At 40.5% G+C, this 12,949-nt stretch overlaps 1 protein-coding gene and 1 pseudogene across 15 annotated transcripts in view, besides 1 other annotated feature; both read right to left on the reverse strand.

Moving 5' to 3' along the window:
• Nucleotides 747–2,653, reverse strand: UNGP3 (uracil-DNA glycosylase pseudogene 3; annotated as a pseudogene).
• STON2 (stonin 2) overlaps nt 3,071–12,949 on the reverse strand; it is a 175,814-nt gene continuing 165,935 nt past the window's right edge. For 8 of the 15 annotated variants that reach the window (XM_024449736.2, NM_001366849.2, XM_047431815.1 and 5 more), the window contains one exon: nt 3,071–4,350. In XM_024449736.2, the coding sequence (XP_024305504.1) occupies nt 4,201–4,350 (150 nt within the window). In that variant the 3' untranslated portion in view covers nt 3,071–4,200. Of the gene's footprint in view, nt 10,917–12,949 lie in introns of all 15 variants that reach the window. The other 7 variants (NM_001366850.2, XM_011537242.3, XM_047431816.1 and 4 more) reach the window with 1 other exon arrangement.
• Nucleotides 6,276–6,777: an enhancer, noted in NCBI's record as "NANOG hESC enhancer chr14:81730201-81730702 (GRCh37/hg19 assembly coordinates)". NCBI's record gives its function as "activates a minimal SCP1, AML or CMV promoter by ChIP-STARR-seq in naive H9 embryonic stem cells {active_cell/tissue: H9 hESC(naive)}" and the evidence as "EXISTENCE:reporter gene assay evidence [ECO:0000049][PMID:30033119]".

Below are 12,949 nucleotides of genomic sequence, written 5' to 3' on the forward strand. Positions count from 1 at the left end.
TGGGAGGCCAAGGTAGGAGGATTGCTTGAGCCCAGGAGTTTGAGACCAGCCTGGGCCATATAGTAAGATCCCCATCTCTACCATAATAAAAATTAAAATTAGCCAGGTGTCACCTGTAGTCCCGTCTACTTGGGAGCCTGAGGTGGCAGGGTTACTTGAGCCCAGGAGGTCAAGGCTGAAGTGAGCTGTGATCATGCCACTTCACTGCATCCTGGGTGATAGAGCGAGACTCTGTCTTGAAAAAATTTTTAGAAGTAGAAGAAAGAATAATGTCTGATATTCAGTTAAAAAACAAAACAAAACAACTTCAACAGTCTTTTATTACCAAACTAGCACAGGATTAACTCTAACCCAGCTAACAGCAAAACAGCATCACTAGCAAGATCAAGGATGGAGGTGCAGTAACAATAAAGACTGTCTCCTAAAAAACGAATTGGAGGCCAGGGGCAGTGGCTCACGCCTGTAATCCCAGCATTTTGGGAGGCCGAGGTGGGTGGATCACCTGAGGTCAGGAGTTCGAGACCAGCCTGGCCAACATGGTGAAACGCTGTCTCTACTAAAAATACAAAAATTAGCCGGGCATGGTAGTGCACACCTGTAATCCCAGCTACCTGGGAGGCTGAGGCAGGAGAATCGCTTGAACCTGGGAGGCAGAGGTTGCAGTGAGCCGAGATCGCGCTACTGCACTCCAGCCTGGGCAACAGAAAGAGACTCTGTCTCAAAAAAAATAAAATAAGATAGAAAACGAATTGTGAAAATATATACATATTTGCATAAGTATTTTTTTAAAAAACTAAAACTTTTCAGTGTTGCCGAAAAAATACCGCAAAGTGATTGCAGTCCACAAAAAAACAGCATTTGGCAGTTCGTGCTGCCTTAAAAACCCCAACTCAAGATAACTCTAGGAGAAGCTCATCCCCGCATTTAAGAAAAATGCCTTTTCTCTTCTTCCTTGTTCAAATTCCACTGCTTATTCCATAAAACAACCGAAGAATAACAAGACCCAGGTCACTTTTCTCAGCCCCTGTCTATCCGTTAAGGCTCATACCACGGAGTATTTCTTAGGAAACTTCACCTCCCCTACAATCAGGAAATTGAGCCCTGATTTCTGGGCTAGATTTCTGGAAACCTGCAGAACATCCTCATGCTTCCTTTATGGAGGGGCCTGAGGGCTCCTTAAATGATCAAGGGGGCAGTGTGCCTGGCTGGGACTGGAATGCCAGCCAGGCTGGGAAAAGGGTTCTTTCTTTTTTTTTGAGACGGAGTCTCGCTCTGTCCCCCAGGCTGGAGTGCAGTGGCACAATCTTGGCTCACTGCAAGCTCTGCCTCTCAGGTTCACGCCATTCTCCTGCCTCAGCCTCCCGAGTAGGTGGGACTACAGGCGCCCACCACCACGACGGGCTAATGTTTTGTATTTTTTTTTTTTTTTAGTAGAGACGGGTTTTCACCATGTTAGCCAGGATGATCTCGATCTCCTGACCTCGTGATCTGCCTGCCTCGGCCTCCCAAAGTGCTGGGATTACAGGCATGCGCCACCACGCCCGGCATTGAAAAGGGTTCCTTTCTAAGCAAAAACACCCGAACACCTTGTAACTGGAAGTCTAACCAGGCAAAACCTAGTAGCAGCAGGTACAATACTAGGGCTGTACCAAAAAGTGCAATCTCCCCCCTTAAACATAAAAGTAAAGGTGGTGAAGAGAGCCAAGTGAATATTTGACCTCACCTGTCTTCTGAGAAGTTTGCATATTTTGGGCTGAAGCCATGTTGCAGAGAAAGACATTTGGTCACAGAGTAGCCTTTGCTGTATCTGGCTGGATAAAGCTGCCATTCCTGGGCAGCCTGCTTCGTGGCTGTTTTAATGAAAGCTTTGCCCCCTTACGCAAAGTACTTAAGAATTAATTCAGAAATTTTCAATTCGACTTCATAAATGACAAATACTTTAACAGAAGCTTCTCAAAAACACCAATGGAGACAGACCACCCCTCAGTTGAGGATCACAGCTCCTTCTACTCTGTGAGCTTCTGGCTGGACTTCTGCAGCAGCTCATTGGTCTTGGAATAAGTGTCTACATCCAAAGAACACTCTATACACCAACAATCAGAAGAGATGAGCCACCTGCAGTACACACTGCCACCTCCTATCAGTGGCAATGCCCTCCTTCTAAGAGCCCAGAGCAAGAAGACAAGGCCATTCAGTTCGGATTTAGCCAGGACACAACTGCATTGGCAAATGCTCCCAGCCTCTCTCAGGAGAATTGGCTTGATGGCTCTGCACAGTGAAGACGGTGAATAGAACACCTTGTTTGGCCCACCCAGATAAATCTCCATGGCCAGGATGATCAAAACCATCTGTCTGTAGGCAGCTCTTCATACATGTTTTCCAAACTAGGCAGAGATCGCACAGGCCTTTGGACACTAAAGCAGCTTCGTGAGCTTGATAGGGTCTGTGATATGGATCCTGTCCCAGGATGACAACCTCCACACCTCCTATGTCACACATCTGGGTCCAGGTGAAGACTTGGTGTTGGGGAGGATAAACAGTGTAATGTTTTCTTTCTTCTGCAACAAATCCCGTTCGTTTTATAGAATACAGTTTTCCGAACTCTCCATTGAGGTGTTTCTTCCAACTCTCACCAAACACCACAGGTACGCTGTGGGCACGACATCGGCTCACTGCAACCTCCGCCTCCCAGGTTCAAGCGATTCTCCTGCCTCGACCTCCTGAGTAGCTGGGATTACAGGTATGCACCACCACACTCGGCTAATTTTGTATTTTTAGTAGAGATGGGGTTTCACCATGTTGGCCAGGATTATCTCGATCTCTTGACCTCGTGATCCACCCACTTCAGCCTCCCAAAGTGCTGGGATTACAGGCATGAGCCACTGGGTCCAGCCAACCTATCTTGAATTGACTAAATTATATCTATGACAAATTTAACTAGGATAATTAAACAGGTCATTTGTTAATTTGTCAGCTTATGATCACTAACCATACAAGCTGGGTGACTGGCCTTATATTAATAAGCATTACTCTTCATATGTCTGACTTCATTAAATTTGGCATAGTGATATTTTGTTCAAAAATTTTTTATTAATAATTCATTTTCATAGCTCAGAAAAGGATATAATCAGTAGAACAACTAAAAACAAAACCTCACCTCTACAGAGATAGCCAGTGTGTAGACTTTATTACATAGGCACATATTAAAAAAAAAAAAACATAAACTGGTTTTACATAAAATTAACCACAATAGTGCAAGAGGTTACACTGAATGAGAATGGATGATGAATGATGGAAAATGTAAGGCTTGGAACAGCTGAATCATTCACTGGATCTTGGGTTCATCCATCCTGACGCACTGAAATTTATTACAGACATTACAAGAATGGAGGGTGAGGAATGGTGCTTCTCTGTCATCGCCTGGCTAAAACACTGATTTTGATTAATCTCTTGAATACGGTAGTTTTCTCCAGGTTCTCTTGTTAAGTAGACATAAAAGTTAAATGAATGCTGGCTTAAGGTCAGAGGAGTTCATATCCTTCTCTTCCCTCACCCCTATACTTTAGAACTCTCACACCCAACAATTTGCTGTTGGGACCTGACTATACATCTGCTTTCCCACAATGCTCTGGTAGAATACCACTGGGGTTGCTGATCCAAAGCACATGGAGGCGCAACAGTGCTTAAGGCTTCAGTCATGGTGTGGGGCTAGACAGCATCCCCAACTAGAATTGAGGGTTTGATCTGTGGGGTAACACGAGCAAGCAGGAAGAGGATGCTGGAATTCCTTACTCTGTCCAGTTGGAATCAATCCAACACATCTGACTACCACAAATACAACCAGAAAAGAAACTAAAATTACACACTCAAACATACCATGAAAGAGATGCTATTTTGTAGCTTGTACATAGTTTAAAATTTTTTTAACTACAATTTGATGTTACTAAGAGACAACGAGGATACAGAGGGGACTGTCCCTTTTCTCTCATCTGGTTTTGCCATAACTTACAAATAGTCCCAGGATGTTTACTGAGTGTCCTCCTTCAATTTTCACAATATTTTATACAAAATGACAAATATATATATACCTCATTGATTATCCTATCATCCCCAGTACTTGGAGGGTTAGACCTACTTCTGTGTCAGGTAGCACCCAAATCCTAACATCTATTTTGGAGACCTGTCTGTGCCTCTTCATGCTCACACCATTGTTCTGATAGATGATGCCAGTGGAACTTCCAAAGAAGCATTCCACCTGATCTTCACCACCCTCTTTGATCCTCTTTTTAAATCTGTGTGTGGAAGGCAACTGCAATATAGAGGATTTGGAAGGTTGTCTGTTTCTGTTGTCTGGGGAAATGATAAAAAAAAAAAAAAAAAAGAGAGAGATGTGAAAAGGAAAAAGATGGACCAGGTGATTTTTCCAATCTTCAAAATTTAAATTTCTTGGTTCTTATAAACATAGGAAGAGTCACTGAAAGGTGGCACCAATGGATATTTTGTAAAATAACCCACAACTTTAGAGCTGGAAAGGACTTGAAGAAACAATTAATCCAACTTCCTCACTTTTTTGTCTCAGGAAACTGAAGCCCAATTGGGAAAACAGCAACTTACTTAACATAGTGATTGTCTCCATGGCTATGTCCTGTAAAGATTCACAGAAACCCCAATTTCCCCTTAATAAATCCATTATGGCATGCCTATGAGTGACTTTAAATAAACAATCCTCAATGTCCTCGTGTCTAGCCTTTCCTCCCTTTAGGGAAGCTGGCTGCTAACACAGCACCTGACCAGAGTAGACATTTGATAAATATTTGTTGAGTTGAATTAATCCTGCCATCTATCCCTTTTTACTATGCAATCTTTATTTTTCCTGGAGCTTCTTACTTTTAACTTTAAGAGATGGCTTCTAGTTCAAGTATTTTGAGGCTTGGTACCCAATGCTGATTTGTCATCTCTCTAGATTTTACTTTTTCATATTGAAATTCTTTTTTTAGTCTATTCTCTTGTAGCTTTTGTTACATCCAATGATCATTTGCCTCTCTCCAGGCACTACCAAACTCATTACTGTGGATAGTTTCTGCCTTTACAGGCTTAGAATTGACAAATTGAGAGACACATTTTTTTTTCAATTCTCAAAACAACTAGACTCTTTCCAGCAGATTTGCTAAGGCACACTAGAAGAAATGTAAAAATCTCACATTCTTGTTCTAGTTAATACATGGGAGAATATTACTAATACATACATTTGTTTTCTACATTTGTGGTTGCCTTATACATCTCCTTCACGTTTAATTCCTTAAACACATAAATATGAGTCATGATATCTAAAGCCAGTCTCATTTAAACAAGATAAGAAATGGTTTGTGGGGAATTAGCACTTAGACCTTGGTAATGTTTAGAAATCATCTTTAGAAACTTGGTGAGAATGCCCTAATTTTATGTAAAGGGTCGTCATGGTTTGAATGGGACTTAGTAGTAAAGTGTGTGAGACAGTGCATTTACCAAATGATATTTTTTTGTGGATTTAATTTTTTGTTAGTTTTGCTTGAAATTCCTGTTAAATTGCATTCTGGACATGACCTAAGGCTAGCTTGTCCAACCCTTGGCCCATGATGGTTTTGAATGTGGCCCAAGACAAATTCGTAAACTTTCTTAAAACATTATGCTATTTTGGCCAGGCGCGGCGGCTCATGCCTGTTATCCTAGCACTCTGGGAGGCTAAGGCGGGTGGATCACCTGAGCTCAGAAGTTCAAGACCAGCTGGCCAACATAATGAAATCCCATCTCTACTAAAAATACAAAAATTAGTCAGGCGTGGTGGCACATGCCTGTAGTCCCAGCTACTCGGGAGGTTGAGGCAGGAGAATCACTTGAACCCGGGAGGCGGAGGTTGCAGTGAGCCGATGTCGTGCCACTGCACTCTAGCCTGGGTGACAGACTGAGACTCCGTCTCAAAAAAAAAAAAAAAAAAAAAAACAAAAAAGAAAATGCTATTTTTTGGCCATGTTTTTAAAGCTCATCAGCTGTTGTTACTGTATTTTATGTGTGACCCAAGACAATTCTTCTTCCTATGTGGCCCAGGGAAGCCAAAAGATTGGACCTCCCTGACTAAGGTCTAGATATGCTGGAATTAACATATAATCCTCATTTTTAGAAGAGTTAAAGTTACCACTCGAACTGGGAGCATTTCTATAAGCAGGCTGGATGGTAGTGCTTCCTACTTAAACCAATTTAATATTCCCAAGGCTTTTAAGAAAAAACTTCAGCTCATTCTGTTTTCCCACCACTAAACTTATGGTGAAATATATATCACCTCTGAAATCATGACTTTATCTCACAAATTTTGACCTTACTATCTCAGACCTCCATCTTACTGTGGTGACAAAATAAATGCAAAGTAACGGTCAGCGGTTAGTGCTGGAAGAACAAAGACCTACTGCATGAAGACTGGTTGTGCACTCTATCAAATGCTTTCTTTTCCTACTGACCATTGAAATGGGCAAGGCTCAGGCTCATGGATCTGTTTGACTTGCAGGAACAAAGCAATCAATCACCGTGACTATGGACAGCATCTATGCTACTATGCTTTGGGGCACAAAAATGTTTTTCAATGTGAATGAGGTACATTGTAGTTCAAATTCAGCAGCATATTAAGTGCCTAAATGCTGACAGGTTTTATTACTTGACTCTGGAGGCAGGAGTAAAAGGAAAGCAAAATTATTTAAGTCCTTCAGGAAATAAAAGCATGCTTGCTGGCTTTATTATGAGTATTTGATGATAAGTAAGGGTTAAGTAGCCTTCGAGTCTCAGGGTCAGTATTCTTTCAGCAAACATTTATTGAATACATACTCATTTTCCTTTATTTCATGAGTATACGTTTGCCCTCCTGGCAAGCATTTAAGGTGGCTGAACCCTATTATATTCCAAGCTTTGTGCTAGGTGTTGGAAACACAAAAAATTATATATAGTCCTTGCCTTCATGGATCCCATTTATCAGAAACATAAGTTTCTAGGGAAATAAACTCTTACTCCCAGCCACTGGATTTGAATAGAAATCAGTCTCATTTCAAATAAAAAATATTTTAAATCAAACAATGTTCTCAAGGATTATGAACCCTGCCAATAATGCAGGAAGGCACAGTAAGGGAAGAGCCAAATAGAAAAAATGAAACTGTCCAGATAATATTTAATATGAATGAAATGCAAACTTTTGATAAGGAATAACTAGTACTATGTCTGCAAGAGCAGGCAAGGGGGATCATCTAATGGTCTCCCCACAAAGTGCCTCACATTGTCTTGTCTGACATGTCATGAGTACATTTCTTATCTTTTTGCTGTAAAGTCAAAAAGCAGGCCCTAGACTCAAAAGAAAGCACAGCTCTTGATACCACGTGATATCTAATTTATGTTCTAAGAGTAATACTATGTACTGGTAAAATGAATTCATTTTTAATATTTTCACATTATTGATAACAAAGATTATTTGTGACCACAAAAAAAAAAAATAAAAAGTCCAGGTCCAGGGTTGCAAAAGTAGAATCTGCATATCCACAGGTAATTTGCCCAACTGTTTTCTATGTAGGTTATTACATAGCTAATTTGCCCACTTGTATTTTCTTTAGAAGTTATTTAAACCTAGTAAAACACTCATTACGTCTAAAAATATATAGTATTATTATCCCCAAACCCCTAAATGCTACCCATAATCAGTTTCCTAAAAACAGTAGAGGGAAAACAAATTTGATGAAATTAAGATGTTAGGTTTTTAAAAATTAATAATAATTTGTGGGTCCAGCATGGTGGCTCACGCCTGTAATCCCAGAGCTTTGGGAGACTGAGGCAGGCTTATCACCTGAGGTCAGACATTCGAGACCAGCCTGGCCAACATGGTGAAACCCCATCTCTACTAAAAATACATAAATTAGTGGTGCATGGTGGCAGGCGCCTGTAATCCCAGCTACTCAGGAGGCTGAGGCAGGAGATTTGGGAGGCAGAGGTTGCAATGAGCCGAGATCACGCCATTGCACTCCAGCCTGGGCGACAAGAGCGAAACTTTGTCTCAGTAATAATAATAATAATAATAATAATAATACTCTGTCTCAATAATAATAATAATAATAATTTGTTTGCAGAATATAGATAGCATAGAAGGGATTTTTCCCAACTCTTGGTAAAAAAAACAAAAAAGTCCAGGTGCATGTACACAGGAAATGAGAATTTACCATGGGGGGCGGGGAAATAAGCTCCAACAAGCAATCCACATGTTATGCTAGCAGATGAGGCAGAGATCTTGACAGAGTGCTAAGCGTGAGTGACTAAGGAAGGTGCTGGGATGAGCTTCATTTCCCTTGCCAACTCTCCAATCCATTTAGATGTTCTATGAGGAATTAATCTCAAAAGCCTTCAGTACAACAGGGGAAGAGATATGCGTTGAAATTCCTTGACAAAAACCTCAAAGGAACTCCACTGTATTTCAAAGAGCATGAAAAACCACTTATGAAGAAAAAGACAAATGAAGTTAGAGAGTCTTATTACTATTGAGACTAAACCTATATTTAGAAGGAATCTTGGTAGACATATAGACCAAATCCAATGTAAGATTCCCTTTCACAGCACGTGGGATAGGTGGTTATTTTAACTGTTGGGCATTCACAGGAACAGGAAATCTTACTAACTTGAGTCTATTCCTCTTTAGAACAACTCTTATTAGACAATTCTTCCTTATATTGAAGCAAACATTTGTCACCTGTAAAGTTCCTCTTTGTTCTTATTTTTGCCCTTTGAAGCTACACAGAATAAATCTAATTCCTCTTCCTTTTCATAGCTCAATAGAAATTTCTAGGCAGCTATTGTATCATTCCCTCCTTGTCTGCACTCCCTTTCCAGCTATACCTTCTGTTCCTTCAGGGAAGCTACTCCCTTGTTCTTGCATCATCAGACCCTTTACAACCCTGGTCACCTCCCTATGGACACAATCAACTTATTAATGTCTCTCTTAAAATATGATACCCATAATTGAACTCAACCCTCCATTTAGATATGGACTAGATGGAGGGTTAATAAAAGCATGTAAGGCTTTTATTAACACCAGCTGACTACATTAGCTTTGTGAATAGCCATGATATATTTCTGATTCAACATTGAACCTCCATTTCTGTAAGGAAATATTTCTCTATAAACTACCGTGAAACCAGGTCTTCCTAACACCGTTCCCATCAACACCACACACATAAACACACACAAACACACACATCCACAAACACACACTCCACTCTGTACTTAGAGGGTTGCATTTTAAAAACCCAGAATATAGGGTTTCTCATTAATGCCTATTCAATCATCATTTTACTTTCAGTCTTAGTTCAGATATTTCAAAATACTGTAACTATTTCTATATCCCAGTGTCAATACACATTTAGACTCCAATGATTGTTCATTGAATACATTAATCTTGAATCCATCAGCCAAAAACTGGAGATATTTTTCATTTCTGCATCATCTACAAATCCAATGAAGTGTGCTTTCTGTCCCCCGACTTGTATTCTTCATGGGAGAAAACACTAAGATACAAATAAGAAGCAGAGGTGAGTAGGAACGGATGAAGGAAAAGAAGATTAATTGTCCCAGAAACAGATGAAGAAAAAGAAGATGGAGTGAGCGTTCTGACTCTTGGAATCAGAATATAATGTTCCCAACATTAGAAAAATATGGCTTTTCCACGTCTCTACCCTAGAGATGCCTTTTCAATCCAATCCAATACTGTGATTATCAAACTCTGAATTTTGGGGGAAAGCTCATTCAAGCTTAATTTTAAAACAGCTTTAAAAATTATCTTTGCAGCTTAAATTTCCTATAAAGTTGGGTTAAAGGGACATGCAACTGTCTATTGGTCATGAGGTATAAAAAGAACTCCCAAATGCCCCTTACAAATGCCTCAGGTATTATGTATATTTGTTTCAGGAATCAGAAGTGGACTGTATTTTTCAGTGTGAATTTGGGAATTCACTGAGATTGAATCTACCTCTTGAACTGAACATCATCTTATATTTAATGTCTCTTTTCTCCAAAATGAAGAAAACTAAGATTAATTTTGCCTTCCCCTCAACACCCATTTTGCAGAATGTGGGTCCATTCACAAAATTAAAAAGTCTCCTATTGTGCCTTTTTCCATTGTCTATTGTGACTCAGGATAGCAAATCCTGTGACTGAAACCTTAGAGAGATGGAAAAAGTGTTCCAATCTAAACGATCTAGAGCCAGGAGGGAAATGTCTTGAAAGCTTAACAGTTAAAGAATGGAGACACCTCAAAAAGGTCTAGTAAGACCCAAAGAGGAAATTTGTTTTGCACCTTTTCTGAACCTTTTCTAGACAGAGTGAAAGAGATGGATTCTTAATTAACTTCTCAAGACTGCCTTTGCCAGAAAGTTATGCGAGTGACAGATGAACATCAGAAGGCAATCGTGCTAACACTGATGTGGGAGGTTCTTTTCCTGACTGTAACAGTCACAACAAACCACATACCAGTGCTGTGAGATAAGCAGAGACAAGACAAGGAGGCTTAATTATACAGTAAGCTCCAACAGTCAGGTGAACCTCGTGCTTTAGGCATGACCAGAATCAAAGAGCCTCTCCAAAAGCCACCATTCTCAGGGTTTCCTGGTAAAATACAAGTAACTGCAAACAGGAAGATCTGGTATACTGTTCCCAACATGCAGTGGCCACAGCAGGTATTGACTGCAACTTCAGCTACTCAGGAAGACACCCTATCATGACTCAGGAAGACACCCTATCATGACTCTGGGATCAGGATTCCTTGCCGCAAGGCTTTGTCACTGCACTCCACACTCCTTGGGATTTTCCATTTCATCTCCTTCAAAGTCCGGCTTCAAACTCTTTTTTTGCTCAATTTCCACCTGCCAAGAATAGAAGTTGGAGATAAAGATCAAAAAGAAGAGAAAAAGCATGCAAATAAATAAGTAAACCAAAACTCCATAGGTACTTTGAAATTTCTTATAATTTTGCTAACATTTTGGGCGTTAGCCACATTGGAGCTACTGGCCCTGAGTATATCATGTCTCTCTCTTTGCACATGTTCTTTAACTGGTCTGTAATTCCCTTTCCCTCATGGTCCACCAGGAAAATTCTTATTCTTTGCCTTGTACATTTGGTCAAAGATCACCCCTTCTGTGAAGCTATTTTTGACTTATTAAGTAGACTTAGGTACTTCTCTCTGTGAATATTTCCACCGTATCTTGCACACCTGTCTGGCTCCACTATACCATGGGCTCCACAAGACATGGGCAGGATCTTGTTCAATATTTTATGCAATAATGTAGGAATACAGTGGGCAATCGACAAAGATTTATCAAATGAATGAATTTCTTTGTAATTGACTGTTTGTACCCCCTCAATACTTGTTTTTTTCTTTTTTTGAGACAGGGTCTCATTCTGTTACTCAGACCGGAGTGCACTGGCACAATCTTGGCTCACAGCTCACCGCAACCTCCACTTCCCGGGCTCAAGTGATTCTCCTGCCTCATCCTCCAGAGTAGCTAAGATTACAGGCACGCACCACTGCGCCTGGCTAATTTTTGAATTTTTAGTAGGGACAGGGTTTCACCATATTGGCCAGGCTGTTCTTGAATTCCTGACCTCAAATGATCCACCTGCCTTGGCCTCCCAAAGGTCTGGGATTACAGCCATGAGCCACAGCACCCGGCCACCTCCAGTACTTTCTCTCTTTAGAAAACCTCCGAACTGATAAATACTGGAATGTTTACAGTTCTGCAATATCTTCTGCAAAATACTGTCACTGTAATTATCAAGAAATTAACAGATTAATCTTTGAAAGTAATACATCTCAACCGAAATCTTTGATAGCTCAGGCAAGGAATTCTTTGAGCTCAGGGTTCAGGTTGCTCCTCTCAGCACCACTCTGGATATTTATGACGCTTGACCTACAGGGTAATGATTCAACACACAACAGTCAGGTTTGAGGGAGGTGCTATTTTTTTCCTAGCCACAAGATGGAGTGTTTGTTCCTTTTGGTAGTTAAATATTTTAGCCCACACAGCTAAGGAAACATTTAGAGGAACAATAAATCACCATATAAATCCAAGGATATTATTATAAATAGAAAACCACTTTGCAAAATCCTTCTTTAACAAACTCCTTTTCCAATCGTTGGCATTTAATCTCCTATTGAATTTCTAACTCCCCAGGAAAGTATCACTTTCTATTTATGTCAGAAAACTCCAACTTTTATGATTCCTTCCACAGCCCTGACCCTGTTACTATTATAAACATTTGCTTGGCTTTTGAGTTTTGTCCTGTTATAGCCCAGTACCCAGGTCATGTGTGTCCTAACTTTGTTCAGGTCCACTTCATCAACTCTAACTGAAGCATATGCTTTGGGATAGCATTTTCTCCCCTCCATTTCCAAGCTCACTACTCTGTGACATAAATTATATTGCAAATGAATAATAACAATTCCTTTACCCCATTACTCTTTTTCTTTTTTTGAGACACAGTCTCGCTCTGTCACTCAGGCTGGAGTACAGTGGTGCAATCATGGCTCACTGCAGCTCAACCTCCCAGAGTCAAGTGATCCTCCCACCTCAGTCTCCTGAGTAGCTGGACTACATGCACAGGCCACCATGCCCGGCTAATTTTGTACTTTTTATAGAGATGGGGTTTCGCCATGTTGGCCAGGCTGGTCTTGAACTCCTGAACTCAAGTAATCAGCCCACCTCCACCTCCCAAAGTGCTGGGATTACAGGTGTGAGCCACTGTGCCTGGCCCCCATTATTCTTTTTGTTGTCATTGCTCATAATGACAGAAAGACATTATATTCTCCTCTTTGATGAGCCTCTTTATTTTTTTCCAACCTTTCTCTCATCCACTAGCCAGATTATGCATTTAAATCAGAGCAGACGCACCCACAGCT

This window comes from Homo sapiens, chromosome 14 (assembly GCF_000001405.40).
Source record: "Homo sapiens chromosome 14, GRCh38.p14 Primary Assembly".
NCBI classification, from domain to species: domain Eukaryota; kingdom Metazoa; phylum Chordata; class Mammalia; order Primates; family Hominidae; genus Homo; species Homo sapiens.